This window comes from Homo sapiens, chromosome 4 (genome assembly GCF_000001405.40).
Source record: "Homo sapiens chromosome 4, GRCh38.p14 Primary Assembly".
NCBI classification, from domain to species: Eukaryota; Metazoa; Chordata; class Mammalia; order Primates; family Hominidae; genus Homo; species Homo sapiens.
Window position 1 is genome coordinate 153,743,961 of NC_000004.12, and position 17,391 is coordinate 153,761,351.

At 45.6% G+C, this 17,391-nt stretch overlaps 1 protein-coding gene across 7 annotated transcripts in view, besides 1 other annotated feature; it reads right to left on the minus strand.

Moving 5' to 3' along the window:
• The window catches only part of RNF175 (ring finger protein 175), a 49,865-nt gene extending 33,801 nt beyond the window's left edge, over positions 1-16,064 (minus strand). For 3 of the 7 annotated variants that reach the window (XM_005262938.4, NM_173662.4, XM_011531882.3), the window contains exons 1-3: positions 15,837-16,064; positions 7,478-7,515; positions 4,685-4,826 (exon numbers count right to left, since the gene is read on the minus strand). In XM_005262938.4, coding sequence (XP_005262995.1) covers positions 4,685-4,826; positions 7,478-7,515; positions 15,837-15,902 — 246 coding nt within the window. In that variant the 5' untranslated portion in view covers positions 15,903-16,064. Of the gene's footprint in view, positions 1-1,708; positions 1,768-4,684; positions 4,868-7,477; positions 7,516-15,836 lie in introns of those variants that run through there. The other 4 variants (XM_017008047.2, XM_005262939.4, XM_011531879.3 and 1 more) reach the window with 3 other exon arrangements.
• Positions 6,217-6,511: a silencer, noted in NCBI's record as "tiled region #15425; HepG2 Repressive non-DNase unmatched - State 12:CtcfO". NCBI's record gives its function as "represses a minimal TATA promoter and a strong SV40 promoter by Sharpr-MPRA in HepG2 cells {active_cell/tissue: HepG2}" and the evidence as "EXISTENCE:reporter gene assay evidence [ECO:0000049][PMID:27701403]".

Consider the following 17,391-nt stretch of genomic DNA (forward strand, 5'->3'; position numbering starts at 1 on the left):
GGGATTCTGAGGCATAGGCAGGTCTGTCTTTGGCCAGGTAGAGCCAGTGTGTAAGTGCCACACTTACACTTACTGGTGCAGTGACACACACCCTCCAAGACCTGACACAAGAGCAGCTGCTTCAAATATAGGACAAGGATGGTCTTTGTGCATATGCCACCTCAAAAATCATCAAATCTGGCCAGGCGCAGTGGCTCATACCTGTAATCCCAGCACTTTGGGAGGCCAAGGCGGGTGGATCACCTGAGGTTAGGAGTTTCAGACCAGCCTGGCCAACATGGTGAAACCCCATCTCTACTAAAAAATACAAAATTAGCCGGGTGTGGTGGTGGGCGCCTGTAATCTCAGCTACTCGGGAGGCTGAGGCTGGAGAATCACTTGAACCCGGGAGGTGGAGGTTGCAGTGAGCCGAGATCGCGCCATTGCACTTCAGCCTGGGCAACAAGAGCAAAACTCCATCTCAAAGAAAAAAAAAAATCATCAAATGAAAATGTTGCAGGAGTGGTGCGACACAGTGCGAGTCAAGGGCTCCTGGAGCATTGTTTCCTTTCAAGGTCGGGGGCTTCCTATGCAAAATCCACACCTGTATTACTATGGAAAAAGAACATTTTTTTCTACATCAATTTAGAGATAATGATTAATTTTAAAGAAAGAATGCATAAGGCTATGAACTGATTCCTTATGAATCCAGGTTTCTTCCTACATGAGGACTCTAGAAATTTTATCTTAGATACTTTCATTTTGCAGATAAGGAAACCATAGTTAAGATATGTTTAAAGAACTTTTCTTTGATATGAGTGAAGAACTAGTGAGGTTTGATTCTAGTTTCATTCACTTAAAGACATTATCCAAGTGCAATATAAAGAGTGTTTATTATAATTGATAAGACAACGGTGACATGGCAGAAAATGGATACATTTGCTTTATAACAATAAAATGAGATTCCCCTTTCTAAAGAAAATGTTCAAAATTGCCTAAACTTAAATATAATACAGAACTCAAAAGAATTCCTTTAGACCCTGTACTATATAGGAAATAAATTCTATGACAGGTAATAGTAAAATAATATATTGGTCTAAGTCAACACTTCATATGTTGCAGGCAAGTTGAGTCCCTCAGGCTCTATAATGGCCATTCCAAGACCCAGAACCATGTAGTGTTAACTGAGGACCTTTTCCCTTTGCAACACTTCTCCATTTAGTCCATATTTGAATCTAAACCAGAGGATTTTAAAGTGTGGTTCCAGGACCGGCAGCTTCAACATTACCAGCACCATGAGGGAACTTGTTAGACATGCAAATTCTTGGGTCCCTATTGAATCGGAAACTCTATGGACAGGACCCGGGAACTTGATTTAACAAGCTCTCTAGATGATTCTGATGCACCCTGCTCTAACCATTGAGAAATACTACTCTAAACATTGTGATGGCAAGGTCTCAGGCCCAACAAGGCCCACAGTATGACTCTCTGGCTCTGGTGGTGAACATGCTTGAATGAGATTGGTCTGTGAAAACGAAATCTTGCTCCATGTTGCTGAAGTCAGTGCAGTGTGTGCATGAACACATTTCCATGGATATGCAAACCATTAATGCCAAGATAGTTTACTACTAATGAAACAACATTAGACAGTGTCTTAGTCCATTTTGTGCTGCTATACTAGAATATGACAGTTTGGGTAATTTACAATGAAAAGAAATTTATTTCTCACAGTTCTGGAGGCTCAGAAGTCCAAGATTGAATGGCTGGCATCTGGTGAGGGCCATCTTGCTGCATCATTTCATGGCATAAGACAAGAGGGCCAGAGAAAATGAGAGAGAGAAACTCATCCTTTTATAAGGAACCTACTCCTGCAATAAAGGCATTAGTCCATTCATGAAGGCAGAGCCCTCATGACCTAATTGCTTCTCATTAGGCCCCACCTCCCAACACTGTTGCATTGAGTATTATGTTTCCAACACATGAACTTTGGGGAACACTCTCAAACCACAGCATTCTGCTCTGGCTCCAAATTCATGTTTTTCTCACACATAAAATATATTCATTTCATCCCAATTGCCCCTAGGTCTTAACTTGTTCTGGTAAAAGTCCAGTGTCTCATCTAAATCAGGTATGGATGAGACTCAAGGCACAATTCATCCTGAGGCAAATTCCCTCTAGCTGTGAGCCTGTGAAATTAACAAGTTCTCTTCTTCCAAAATACAATGACAGGTCAGGCAGAGGATAGATATTCCCATTCCAAAAGGGAGAAATAGGCAAGAAGAAAGGAGTAGCAGGCCCCAAGCCAGTCTAAAACTTAACAAGGTAAACAATACTAAATCCTAAGACTTGAGGATACTCTTCTTTGACTCCATGTCCTACTTTCTGGGCATAGTGAGGTAGGGTTTGGAACCTTGAGGCCTCAGGAACAGCCTTGCCCCCCCATGGCTTTGCTAGGCTTAGCCCACACAACTCTCACAGGTTAGAATCTCATGTCCGTAGCTCTCCTAGGCTGGAGTTGCATGCTGCATGCCCATAGCTCTCCTAGGCTGGAGTTGCATGCTGCATGCCCATAGCTCTCCTAGGCTGGAGTTGCATGCTGCATGCCCATAGCTCTCCTAGGCTGGAGTTGCATGCTGCATGCCCATAGCTCTCCGAGGCTGGAGTTGCATGCTGCATGCCCATAGCTCTCCTAGGCTGGAGTTGCATGCTGGTAGTTGTGTAGTTCTGGGACTTGGGGGCATCCCCACCCCGAAGGGCTCCCCTAGGCCTAGTGAGGACTCTCTGCTATGGCTGTGACTCCACACTTCTGCTTGGCGTTGTCCTCCTAGGCACTCTCTGTGGCAGCTCTGCCCCAAGACAAGTTTTTGCTTAGGCCCTCTGGTTGTCTGCAACATCCTTTGAAATCTAAGTGGAGGCTGCCATGGCCTCACAGCATGTGCCTACAGAATTAGCACCACCAACGTTTATAGCTTGTACCTTCCAGAGCCACAGGTTGAGCTGCACCTGGGCTCCCTGGAGCCACAGCTGAAGCAGCCAAGGAGAACGATGCTGGAATTCAAGGAGCAGAGTCCTGAGGTGGCCCTGCTCACTGGTCCTGTGTAGGGTACAATGGGGAGTCACCCCAAACCATTCTACTCTCCTAGAGCTCTGGGCTTGTGATGGGAGGGGCATCCTTGAAGGTCACTGCAATGCCTTCAGGGTCATTTTCCTGTTGTCTTGATTACTTGCACCTGGCTTCCTTCTAGCTGTGTTAATCCCCTTTATCAAAGGGTCACTTGGCTGTACTGCAAGTCTTTTTATTCTTTACGTAGCCAGGCTGTGAGTTTTCCAAATTTTATATTGTTTCTCTTTTACTTATAAATTCCATCTTTAAATCATTTATCTCTTCTTTCATTTTACTATATGCAGTTAAAAGAAGCCATGCAGGTCCTTCAATATATTGCTTAGAAATTTCTTTCACCAGATATCCTGGTTCATTGCTCTTAACTCTGCCTTCCATAAAGCCCTCCAGCATGGACACAGTTAAGCCAAGTTCTTTGTGACTTTATAATGAGGATGGCCGTTACTCCAGCTTCCGATACCTTGTTCCTCATTTTCTGTCTAAGACCTCAGGATAATGGCTTCTATTGTTCATATTTCTACCAACATTCTGACCATGACCACTTAAGTGATCGCTAAAAAGTTTCAGCCTTTCTCTATAGTTCTTTTCTTCTTCTGAGCCCTCACCAGACTTGCCTTTAATACTCCATTACAGCAAGACCAGCTATTTCTAGCCTGTTCCTTCAAACTCTTCCAGCCTCTGCCCAATTACACAGTTCCAAAGCTGCTTCCCCATTTTCAGGCATTTGTTATAGTAACAGACCCACTTCTTCGTATCAATTTTCTTTCTTAGTCTGTTTTCTGCTGTTATAACAGAATACCACAGACTGGGTAATAAATAATAAACAGCAATGTATTGCCTCATGGTCTGGAGGCTAGAAAGTACAAGACAGAGGGATTTGCATCTTGCAAGGGCCTTCTTGCTGTGTCATCTCATGGCAGAAGGTGAGAGGGCAAGAGAGAATGAGAGAGAAAATGGGTCCACATTCATGTTTTTATAATAAACCCACTCCCACAATAATTAATGGCATTAATCCATTCACAAGGGCAGAGCCCTTATGGCCAAATCGCCTCTTATTAGGCCCCACCTCCCAGCACTGTTGCATTGGGGATTAAATCTCCAACACAAGAACTTTGGGGGATACATTCAAACCATAGCAGACACCCTAAACCATTTCTTTTGGCTATTCTAATCCTCCTTTTCCTGGACTGTTGGCAGAAGTTGTTCATGCATGAAGGGAAAACTGGTTTACTTAAACCAGGGTTTTTCAGTCTTGGCACCATTGACATTTTAGGCCAGATAATTTTTGTTGTGGGGAGCTGTTCTGCATTGGAGGATGTTTACCAGCATCCCTGGCCTCTATCCACCAGGTGCCAGTTGCAACTCCCCTCCCCCTTTTCACCCCCCACAAGTCTTGACAGTCAAAAATGTTTCCAGACATTGCCAAATGTCTCCTGGGAGTGAAATTGCACTTGGTTGAGAACCACTGACTTAAACCAAGGCAGTTCCTTCAAAGTGCTAACCAAGGGAGAACATGTCCTGGAAAAAAACAGTCAAGCTGATACAAGCTGGAGCAGGCTCCCAGCAGCCACGGGGATGACTCACATTGTAGGATCGGCCATGCCTCTGTCTCCACTGAACCAGCACTATCTGGGCAATGACCAGAACGCAGAGGAAGATCAAGATCATTTCCACGTGCATGGAATCGTGGCCCCGGTGCATCTTGTACATCCTCTCCTGCTGCAGGCTGGAACCAGCAAAATGAGGTCATCTGAAAAAGCCCTCAACCTTGCGCATTTAGCAAAAAAAACAAAAAACAAAAAACAAAAAAACAAAAAACAGGTTTGGCTTACAAAAAGCAACAGGGGATTTCAAATATAAGGGTTGGTAAGCTTTGATTGTAAAGTTTTTCTAAGTTTTTCTTGGTTTCTTCCCTTTCCCTAGATCTGGAGAAGGAGCAGCTGGGAGGAGGAGCCTGACTTTCTTAGCAAAACCAGTTCCTTTGCTTTCCCATGTGGTTGGCCTCAGCCTTGTCTTTTAAGTTAAGTGATGGGGCTAAAAAAAGTAATGAGCCCCAGGAAGACCTGGGGTCCAGTCCCTGATCTGCCACTTCATTGCCTCACAACCTTGGGGAAGTCATTTATCCTCTCTGAGCCTCAGTTTCCTCATTTGCAAATTTCAAATAACCATCCTTCTGTAACTGACAAGGTTGTTGTAAGACTATAAAGCACATGTTATTTTATTTGTGTCTATATAAGGAATAATTATTATTGAGCTGCATCATATGAAACTTCAATTTTTGAAAGTCAAAAACAGTCAAACGTTGGTAATTTTAAATCATTTGCTACTATTTCAAGTAAAAGGAAACCCTGCAGATGGTGCTTATGCCAGAGGAGAGAATATTATCCAGGGGGCAATGGAAAGCTTCTGAATGAGTTGTATAAATTGTTACAGGACTATAATAGAGAGAAAGAATAGGCTTAAGTATTATCTTAGACATGCACAGACATTCCCATGATGGCTGAATGTTCCCATTTTAGCTGGATGCTTAGTTTTGCACAATTGTAGAGAAAATCAACAAAATAGTTTGTCATCTCTTTTAACGTTCTGGGGTAGCCTCGATGAAAACCTAGAGCAGTCGTTCTTGACCTTGTCTGTAAGTTAGGAAACACTGGGAAGCTTTAAAAAAATCTTAACCCCCCATATCCAGATCAATTAGATGACCATTTCTGGGTGTTGGGGGCTGAATTTCACCCTCTCAAAATTCATACACTGATGTCCTAATCCCCTGTACTTCAACATGCCAACCAAAACCTGCCAGCACCTTAATCTTGGACTTTCAGCCTCCAGAACTGTGAGAAAATAAATTTCTGATTTTTAAGCCACCTATTCTGTGGTATTTTGTTATGGTATTCCTAGCAAATTAATACAGATTTGCAGAATGGGATGTGACATCAGGAATTTTTCAGGCATCCCATGTGATTTTAAGGGGCAGCCAAGATTGAGAACCACAAGCCTAGCAGAAGAGAAAGAGGCCCAGGGTCAAGATGAGTGAACATGGGGAAAAATCATGAATGCTGTCAGTTACTTTCTAAATACTGGTTATCATTATCTTTCATCCCTAGTGTGGCACCATCAGTCACAAAATCTCTTAAGTTTCCACTTACGTCTAGTTACAATATGCAGTTAGCTAATGTACCACCCAGAAAACACCACAGGGTAACAGTCTGTGCCGTGAGATAGTGACCTTTTAAAGGCACTTGATGGGTATGTGGGTTGGGTTCTCTCCCTCTGCCAGCATTTCTACAGCTACTCCAAAGAGCAGTGAATGCCTCAGAAAAGGGTCTCATCCAAATCCCAAGGGTGCCCCCTGCTGGAAAAGGTGTAGAAATCAGCCCACAGAGCCCAGTAAATACTGCTCAAGTTCAGTTTCTTTGAGAGGGATTCTCAGAATGTCAGTGCTGGAAGTTACCATAGATGGAATGAATCTCCCTCATTTATCAAATGACGAAGATGAAATCCATATCAGGTAAGCAACTTGAATAAAATTACGTGGCTCTTAGTCTCTCTATTGGAAGCTGAGCTCAGGAGACAGGAATGATTTCTAGAAGCTCATTTAAACAAACAAGCAAAAAAACAAACTTGTTCCCCTGAAGATATGGGAAGAAAAATGAAAAGAATACAAGTGCTTAGTTGTGGTTTATACAGCTCCAAATCTAAAATAGCTGTTTAATATTCTATATAATTAACAGACTTTGAACTTACGGCATATAGATAAAAGAGTGACTTCATCATCAGTCTAAAATAGGATTTGCATAGATATAAAATAAAATATGCTTTATGAGATTAATCTATTAATCTGTTATATGAGATTAATCTATAATAAAAATGCATCTCAAATTGGTTAGCCTATGTTGAAGTACTTTGAAAAGTATATATTGGTGTACAAATGTAGTAAGTATTTTCCTTTTTGAGTAGGAATATATCCAAAATTGACTCCTGTAATACAAAAAAGGAGGAGCTTTTCATTCTTATTTCACTTCATGTGGTGCTCACAGGGCCCAATGGCCCTACAGTATGCACCAGAACACAGGGGCAATGGTATAGGAACAAAACCAGTGTATCTTGTGCCTAAAATAAATAGTAACTTGACACAGCCATATTTTGAAGGATATATTAATCCACCTTTGTGGGACTGCATGATCTTTTTCTACAGATCATGCTGTAGAAAACAGATGAAATCCATGCATTTTGGTCTGTAGTATTTGTGTATCCTACCCCATCTTCTCTATCCTGGAAAATTTACAAATAAAATGATGACTTCATTCATTTTCTCAACTGTTAAGATAAAAATCTAATTTTTAGCAAAACAACTCTTAAAAAATACTAATTACTTACTTCCATGTGTCTTCTGCAGAAAGCTTTGTATGAGAGAGCTGAAAAACATAAAAAGGGCCCTTATCAAAAAATGTCCTTATTTTCTTGGTTTTTCTGTGAAAGCAATATATGGGAAACCCAGACCATGAAAAATAACAATGTCACATAGTATTTGAATAATTTGGGATAAAAGTCCTAGTAAAATAATTTGCTTACAGAACTAAAACAACACAAACAAAAAAAGAGTAATCAGGTCACTATTAATAAATATTTGATCCTGTTCCTGGATCAGAGAATCAGATGAGGCTCCATTTCTGTGGTTTTGTTTTGGCAAATCAGTCAAAGTTACAGAGAGTGGTCTCCCAATAGGCCATGCTACTCTGGCTTCTAGGATATGAAGTGTGAGTCTGAGCATCCCTAAAAACCATCTGTTTTGCTGGTATCTTAAATGATTGCAGTGAGTAAATATCTCCAATGTCAGTGAGTAAATATCATTTCCAAGTTCAAAGTTTCAGAGACAGAGCTGAGCAGAGGCTCCGTTGATTTGGAGCATTCTTGTACTCTCTTGTTAAGAAGGCATCATTACTGACCCCAGGGAAGGGAGTAATCTGGGCTTGTGCCCTTACAAATTGAGCTGGAAAGCACAGACATCGTCTCCAGAACCATGCTTTTTGGATGACCTGCAGAGTCCACCCATGGACTACCTTTTCTAGATTATTGCTAACCCACTACATTTGGTCATTTGAAACCTTTAAGGCCAATCATTGGAAAGACGTAATCGTGTAACTTTGGTGGAGAGCACAGAAGAGCATAGACAACCAATGTTTTTGCCCCCAAAGCAGAAGTTAGCAGAAAGGGACCTGTGGAACAAAGGAGGAGACTCATGCACCTTGACTACCTGAGGCTTGCTTCACTCCTGGAACTCAACACTTGAGCCCAGATGTTGTGACCTCCATTTGAATATTAGGGACCCACCTGGTGGGATCACCTGGGGGCAGGGAGCCATGGAGAAGTTGCCAGTATTACCCCCTGTGCCACCCACTTCTTTCCTGGCATCACCCAGAAAGGTCCTGGCATTGTGCAAATATTGCCTAAACTTATACTTTTCTATTTCATCCAAAGCCTTGTTCTCTCTTAAATGTGAGAAAGAAAACCTTAAAAGTACTAGAAGAAAACATGGGTAAACATGTTTATAATTCTGCAGTGGAAAAGGCATTTTTAAGTATAATGTAGAGCCCAGAAATTATAAAGTTAAAAAATGACAGATTTTGAGGACATTTAAAATAAAATACATTATAGTCCTCAATATTTGAAAGACAAATTGAACTGGGGAAAGCATAACATATGTGAGGGGCAAAAAACTAATAAGCATATGTAAAAAGGGTTTTTATAATTTAATCAAAAAGAGACAGTCCAAAAGGGCAAAGTACATGAATGAGAAATTCACGAATTGAGATATACAAATGACAAATAAATTTATGGAAAGGTGTTCAAACTCACTAGTAATAACTGTGTTTAAAAAAAAAGTAAAAATGAGGACTTCTATTGAAACACGGTAAATAAAAAAAGTGCACTTACCTCCTCTCCCTCCCCAAACACCACTAGAACAATAGCAAAAGGACATAAACCTCCAAGTCCAAGGAGAATGAGAGAGGAGTCCAGAGCAGCCAATTCTGAAACTGACCAGCAGATGGGCCAGCGGAAAGGGACACTGGGACACCACAGGGCAAAAGACACCGAAGCCCACCAGCATGCGGGCAGTGCAGAGCAGAATGTGTGTGCTAAGACCCTCAGGAGGGCTGTGGATTGCGGGCTCCTAGGGCGTCTAGAAGTGGGGGATGCAACCGGGGTTAGTAACAGAAGGTTCACTGAAAGTCAGTTTAAGGTTTGGTGGCCCCCACACTAGCAGAATACTAGTGGCTAAACCGGAGGCACAGGCCAAGAGGCACCAGGCATGTGGAGGGAGAGTAGAGGACACTGGCAGCCCTCATCTGAGTCTAGAGAGCCCTAGCACCATCCTCCCTGGCAGCATCACCTCTAGATCCGGCTGCAGGGGCCCTGCCTTGCTTTAGAGGACCCTGGACATCTCAAACCCTGAAACACAAAATAACTGTGTTTTTATCTTTTCTCTCTCTCTCTCTCTCTTTTTTTTTTTCCCGAGGTGGAGTCTTGCTTTTGTCGCCCAGGCTAGAGTGCAATGGTGCGATCTCAGCTCACTGCAACCTCTGCCTCCCGGGTTCAAGCGATTCTCCTGCCTTAGCCTCTTGAGTAGCTGGGACTACAGGCACTCGCCACCATGCCCAGCTAAATTTTTCTATTTTTAGTAGAGACGGGGTTTCGCCATGTTGGCCAGGCTGGTCTCCAACTCCTGACCTCAGGTGATCCGCCCACCTCGACCTCTCAAAGTGCTGGGATTACAGGCGTGAGCCACTGTGCCTGGTGTCTTTTCTGTCTCTTAAGAAAATATTTTGAGGCTGGGCGTGGTGGCTCACACCTGTAATCCCAGCACTTTGGGAGGCCGAGGCGGGCGTATCACGAGGTCAGGAGATAGAGACCATCCTGGCTAACATGGTGAAATCCCGTCTCTACTAAAAATACAAAAAATTAGCCTGGCGTGGTTGTAGGCGCCTGTAGTCCCAGCTACTCAGGAGGATGCGGTAGGAGAATGGTGTGAACCCGGGAGGTGGAACTTGCAGTGAGCTGAGATCGCGCCACTGCACTCCAGCCTGGGTGACAGAGCAAGACTCCGTCTCAAAAAAAAAAAAAAAATTATGAAAGTCTGGTAACTGATTGAGTGAGTAGACCTTGATTGGAGAGAGATGATGTAGGGCTGACACCCCAGGGGACTGGCAGGTTGGGGAGAAGAAAAAGAATAGCCTGTGCTCTGGGAAACTGGAGATAAAGTTTTGAAATTTGGCCATCCCAAACCATCTAAGTGGGATCTTGGCTGACCAGGCTCCTCAATTAACTGCAGTGAGGTAGTCTGGGAGCAGCTTGGAACTGCTTGGAAATCCCGAGTCTGAAAAGTGAGATGTGTGGTGGGAGATCCTATCTACCACAGCTTCCTTGGGAGTCAGTGGGGTCAGTCCACATCCCTGGTTTAGGCACCGTAGTGAGTTGAATTGTGTCCTCCCAAAAGATATGTTTGAGTCCTAACCCCCAGTACCTGTGAATGTGATCTTATCTGGCAATAGGGTATTTGCAGATGTAATTGAGGACCTCAGAATAAGACCATCTGGATTTGGGGCAGGTCCTAAATCCAATGCCTAGTGTCCTTGCAAGAGAAAGGAGCGGAAGATTTGACATCCAGAGACACAGACACAGAATAGCAAGGCAGAGTAGATGGCCGTGTGAAGACAGAAGCAGGAACCAGAGGGATGCAGCCACAAGCCAGGAACACCTGGAGTCACCAGAGACTGGAAGGGGCAAGTAAGAAGTCTCCCCTAGAGTCTTTGGAGGGAGCATGACCCTGTTGACACCTAGATTTTGAACTCCTGGCCTCCAGAACTGTGAGATAATACATTTTTTTGTTGTTATGGAGGACCTAGGAAACTAGTACAGGTACATTGAAACTTCCATCTTCCCTGTCCCAGCAGATCCTTGCTACCACTCAAGCCTGCAGCCAGCACTGCAGGTAGGGAGAATGTGGCTACACGGGCCACAAGTGGACCTGCAGGCAGGGCTGTAAGAGCAGATCAGTTGATGATACTTAGACACGTGGCACGAGGGCCTCCATTTGTGCTCTTGGCCTAGGCATGTTAGACATGGGCTTGCCCACTTGGCTGGCAGCCAGACATGCCCCTTACACAGGGAATGAATCAATTTAAGCCAAGAGAAAAGACCTATAGATGGACAGTCCTTGTTCTCCCTACAAAAAGGCCCAGCCAGGTCACCCTCCACTGAAGCCTGCCTGTCAACAGGCTTTCCCTGCTAGCAAGAGCTTAACAGTGCTGTACTGTCTCACCTCAGACACAAGTGAACAGTCAAAGATCACAAGACGTTTGAGACAGGAAAGAGTTCTGCACCCATAATGACAAGAACACTGCTTTAAAGAATATAGAAAAACAACCAAAAGCTCTTAGAAATTAAAAACAGGAAGACAGAAATAAAAACTCAAATGAAGAATCGAAGATAAATTGAAGAACTCAGAAAGAATTTAAAAAAAAAACCTCAAAGACATGGAAAACAGAAGAGAAAATATAAGAATATTAGTGAATTGGGCTAGGAAATCTCCTCACATCCCCCACCCCCGCAAAAAAAATGAGTTCTAGAACCAGAGAAGAAGATAACAGATGGCAGGAAGTTTAAAAGAAATTACACAAGAAAATTTCCAAGGACTGAAAGATACCTGTTTTAAAAATGAAATGCTCACCAAGTACCCAGCCCGATGGATGAAAAAGACCCATATTTTTATATATCTACATAAAAGAATCTGTAAGATCTACAAAATGATAACACAGATTCATATTTACTGACATAGAAATATTTTCATGACATATTCTGAACAGAAAAAGCATGCTTCAAAGCAGTTGTGTATAATCTGAGCCTATTTATGTAAATGTATAGTTACATAAAGAGACATCTGTAATAAAAAAGCCCAGAAGAGTGGCTCCCAAGACATTAACAGGAATGCTCCATGGGTGGTGATACATCCTGGGCATTTACTTTCTTTTTTATACTTCTTTACATTAAGTGTATTCTACATGAACATATGTCACTGAAAAGAACAATACAAAAGTAAGCTTGCCTCTGTCCTCTTTTTTATCCCTTTCCTTGTCTGATCAGTAGCCATGTCCTTTTTATCCCTGTTCCAGCACCACATTTCTATCAATCTCTTATATCTTTCTTTTGGCTAGCTAAATTTGTGTGAGCTCCAGATGCTTCTGAATGCCTCCTACATAGCCCCACTTGGGACTCTCTCTCTCAGATATGTGAATTAACCTGCCCTAAAGTGAACATACTTGTTTCCCCCCAAGCTGCTCCCACTTCAGTGTCCTCCATCCCCCATCTCAGTTAATAGCATCCTGTCCTATCTATCCAATTGCTCAAAGCAGAAAAGCCTGGGGCATCATCCTTGCCCCTAACCAACCCTGTACCTCCAACCCACTACTCTCCTGTTGACCCTACCTATAAATGCCTCACAAACATGCCCCCTTCTCTCCACCCCTATGGCTTCTATGCCATTCATTTTGTCATTCATTCAGCAAATATGGAGTGGTGCCTCCCATGTGCCAGCCACTGGGTTAAGAGCTGGCATTCAAGGGTTAGAAAGACAAACAAGGTGTCTGTTCTCATGAATAGGACCTTGTGTTCTAGAGGAAATGATGCACAATAAACAAGCAAACAAAACAACTGCCTAATGAAGTAAATTATATGAAGAAAATAAAATGTGTGATAAAGAATTACCAGCAGAGGGCAAGGGCTGTCACTCTTTAGATAGGGTGGCTAGGGGAAGATGAGATGGAGGCCAGCATGCAGGGTGTCCCCCTCCTCTGAGGCCCTTGCCTTCGCTCTCTTCCCTCTTCAAACAGTAAGAGTGTTCCCATTAAAGGTAGACTGATCCTATTGTCTTCCTGCCTGAAATCCAACATGGCTCACAAGGCCTTGTATCCCATTTCAGCCTCCCCTCTCTCCACTGCCCCTGCACACCCTCTGCTCCAGCCAAGCAGAGCTTTCCTGTCCCTGAATGCTCTCCCTCCACTCCCAGCCTCCATGCTGGGTTGCCTCATTTCTGCTCACCCTTGGATCCCACTTACTCCAGGACACCCTTTCGGTGAGGCCCCTACCAGGATATATACTGACCTTGAACATTGTTACCAGACTGCATTGTTGATGACTTATTTACTTACCTGAATCTGTAGGTGGCCAGCGCTGGCCTCATCCCCCCACTGAATCCTCATGTCTGGTGCATGGCACACTCAATGTGTTTGGAGACTGCCACCCCGATTGGCTTTCATTATCTCTCACCTGAACTGCTGCCTCCAAACTGATTTTGTCACTTTCAACTCTTCCCTCACAAAACCCACCTGTTAGAAAAATCTTTCTAAACCAAGTAGCAAAGCCAGAACAATGAACTCAGAAACTAGTGATGACCCTGGACCACATGTGAGTGCCAGGTAGGAATGTTAGGTTTAGAGGGCTGTATTCATTGGTAAGGAATTCATGTCACAAGGCAAGGCTGCATGCCTGTGGGTGGAGAGGAGGGGCTGTGTATGGCCTGCCCCCAGGCAGAGAGCAGTTTTGGGGAAGTGGTGGGTCCTCTCAGCTCTCAGGAGAAATCCGAGCCTGGAAAGCAAGCCTTAGACAAGCAGAAGAGGGAACTCCTAAACCCATGGTCTCTGCTCTCACACTCCAAATTTTAGGAGTTTCAAACATACCTAACCAGTTGCAGGCTCAAAAGACCCCAGGGGTTGTAGCTGGGGAGGTGGAGGATGGGGAATAGGGAGATGGTGTTTGTCCAGTAAGGTATGCTGGAGTTAGGGTCTTACATCATAAGATTGTACGTTACTGTTCATTTATTCATTCAATAAATATTTATTGAGGCCCTGCCGTTTGCTGAGACTGTTCTAGGTCCTGGAAATACAGGAGCGAGCAAGGCAGACCACATGGCTTTTCTGCTGGAGCTTTCATGCTGAAGGAGGTTCTTAGACAATCAAATACACACATAGACATACTTCAGGTAGTGATAAGGGTGATGAAGGAAAATAAAATAGGGTGAGGTTCAAACCAAAGGGAAGCTATCAGATAATAGGCTGGTCAGTAACTATCTCTGTTTTCACTTTCTTATCCCTAGCTCTAGTAAAGTCAAGAAACCAGCACTTCTTGAACTTTGATGTGCAAATGAATCACCCTGGGATCTGGTTAAAATGCGGATTTCAATTCAGTGGGTCTGGCGTGGGAACTGAGACTGCATTTTTAACAGGCTCCCAGGTAATGCCTTGGCTGCTGGTTCCTGGACCACACTGTCTTGCCATATGGGATTAAGGGAAAAGCTGTGAGTCCCTCCTAGGGCAGCCTCAACAGAGAGGCCATACCTCCTGAGGGCAGCAGACTAGGCAGTGATGCCAGCCTTAAGGAAGAGCAAAGATCAGCAGCAAATCCACCAGTACTAGATCCTCTGACACTCCTGGCATGCATTCATCAATTCAGAACCTCCCTTTCGATAATCTGGGTTTGAAACCAGCAAGAAAGTCATGGAGTTTCATTTTAAGTTTCCCCATTTTGTGGTACACAAGCCCCTCCACAGCCTAGCCCACCCTTATTTTTTGCTATAAGCATTCCTGACCCCTAGGTTTCTGGCAGTCAGAGTGGACAGTCCCCTCTCTCTGCCTTGTCCCATGGCCATCCATCCCAATATTAAAAAAAAAAAAATCTCCAAGCCATTTGGTACTGTTGTTCCCTCCATCTAGAATTCTCTGGCCCATGAGGTCAGATCCTGTCCATTCCCCAACACCCAGCTCGAATGCCACGCCCTCACGGGTTGGAGGAGAAGGGGGTTAGTCAGGAGCAAGCCCTTCTCAGAAATCCTACAGTTCTTTGCCTGAACCTATTTTGGGACATTAATCTCTTCCTACCCGCTCTGTGAGTGATTTTTGTTGTTGTTTAAGAGTTATCTTTGCCCTTAAGAGTTATTTTTGTCCTCGTTTTACGGATGGGATTTGGGTTCCTCCAGGTAAGACCTACCCTCCTCCACCCCCAAATCCTCCTGGTACCTGGATGTAGCCTAAGAAGAATTGTCCTATGAACGAAGAATAAATTAAGATTGGGTTTGCAATTGACGCCAGCAGAAGCAGAAATGGGCTAGGTTGAGCACCAGGCAAGACAAGCTGACGATCAGGGTACACATCTTGAATCAGAAACCCTGGGCACAGACCAGCAGTCTGCGTGGTAACAGGCCCTCCGAGTGATTCTGATGACACTCGAGTTTGAGAACCAGGGCGGTCTAGCCAAAAGCCTGCAGTACACCCCTTCCCCTCTCTCGCAGCTTACGACCTTGACCCTGGGCTCTGGGGGCTTCCGCCGAGGAGGGAGGAGGGCACAGGCGGTCACAAAGGAGGGCGGGAGTGGAAGGGGTGAGCCTGGAAGAGAAAGTGCGAGGATGCGAGAAGAGGGATGGAGCGAAGGAAGAGGATCAGAAGGAGGAAAGGAAGGTAGCGGGGAGGGCACAGAAGTGGGGAGGGAGGGAGTGGAGGAGGGACTGGCACCCCGCACGGTGGCATCTTCCAGAAGGTCATGCGTCCGTCCCCACGTCTTTCCAGGGCCGGTTCTCCCCGGTGGGGCCCGGGGTCTTGGAGACCAGTCTGTGCAGCCTGCCCGGCACCAGCGTGAGCCCCGGGACCCCGGCCTGGCGTCCCCCACGCCCGCGCCCCCGCGCCAGTACCTGCTCCTGCTGCGGGGGGGCCTCCAGCACCGGCGCTGCCTTCCGCGCCGCCGTCCCCGCGGCCATGCCTGAGCCACTGTGCCTTCTCCAGGGCACAGCGCCTGCCGGGGAGGGTCCCGCAGAGTCCGCAGAAGGAGGCGCCGCGGGGCCTCGGGAGCCGAGGGTGAGAGCCGGATCTGCGGCGGCGGCGGAGCGGCGGCCCTGCCCGGGTTGTGCGGGGCGGGAGATGGGAGCCTCCCGGCACGCCCCGCCTCCGCCCCCTGCACGCTGGCCAGCGTCCTCCCCAGCAGCGGCCTCGAGGTCCCGGTCGCCAGCACCCCGGTTCCTTCAGAACCTCAGGCCTCCCATTCAGCCAGCCATTGTCGCCGATAAAGCGTCTTGAGCCCTACCGGGTGCGTGTGGCGGGAACCCCGGTTTTGTTACCGGGCGGCAGGACTGGAGGAGGGGTCAGAGGTGGGTAGGGAGAGAGAGGGGAGTAGAGGAGTGAGAAATGGCGGTGGGGGGGCGAGGGGTGCTGGGGAGGAAGAGAAGAGAGAGAGAGAGTTTCCTCTCCCTCAGAGGTGTTTATTAGGAGGCAGGAGTTCGGGTGGCTGTGCAGATACAGACTTTCCTCAGTTATCTGTGCTTCCTCCAAAGATGATGAAGGAGAGAAACTCCAATCTAGGGAGAGCGCAGACCATCTTGGCCCCTATGCTGCTCCAGGCCATGCAGGGCCCCTGCGACGCAAGCATCTTGCCTTTGCCCCTCTACCTCCAGGGTCTCCCCTCCCGCCTTTACAACTTAGGCCTAAGCCTGGCTTCAAGGTTGAGAACAAGCTGGAACGTTTAGGCAAGCCTTTAGAAATACCTGGGTGTTGATTTGGGGAAACAGAAAAGAGGAGCACAGAATTAGATGATGTGTCCTACGAAATACAGCTTACCCCTTTCCAGTTTGTGATGGCTCGTATTTGTCAACACCTACAAAGGAGGTGAACAGACCAAGATGGACATTTCTCTGCCATTGTGGAACGTAGAGCCTAACAGGGGATAGAGAAAAATAAGCATCTAAGTACAATTTATCACGGATGGTGCCTTGGTTTTCCAGCCTTAACTGGGCATCAGAATCCTATGGAGGAATGCTGAGTTTGTTAAAACTCAGAGTGCTGGCCAAGCACAGTGGCTGATGCCTTTAATCCCAGCACTTTGGGAGGACAGGGCGGGCGGATTGCTTGAACCTAGGAGTTTGAGACCAGCCTAGGCAACATGGTGAAGCCCCATCTCTATAAAATATACAAAAGTGAGCTGGGCGTGGTACACCTGTAGCCCCAGCTACTCAGGAGGTTGAGGCTGGAGGATCGCCGGAGCCCGGGAGGTTCAGGCTGCAGTAAGCCGTGATGGAACCACTGCACTTCTGCCTGGACAACAGAGCGAGACTCTATCAAAAAACAAAACAAAAATCTTCAGATTGCTGGAGTTGAGCCCTAGAGTTTTTAATATAGTAGGTCTAGGGTGGAGCCTGAGCATTTGTCTTTTGAACAAGTTTTCAGGTGCCGCTGGGGCTGTTACCTACATCTGAA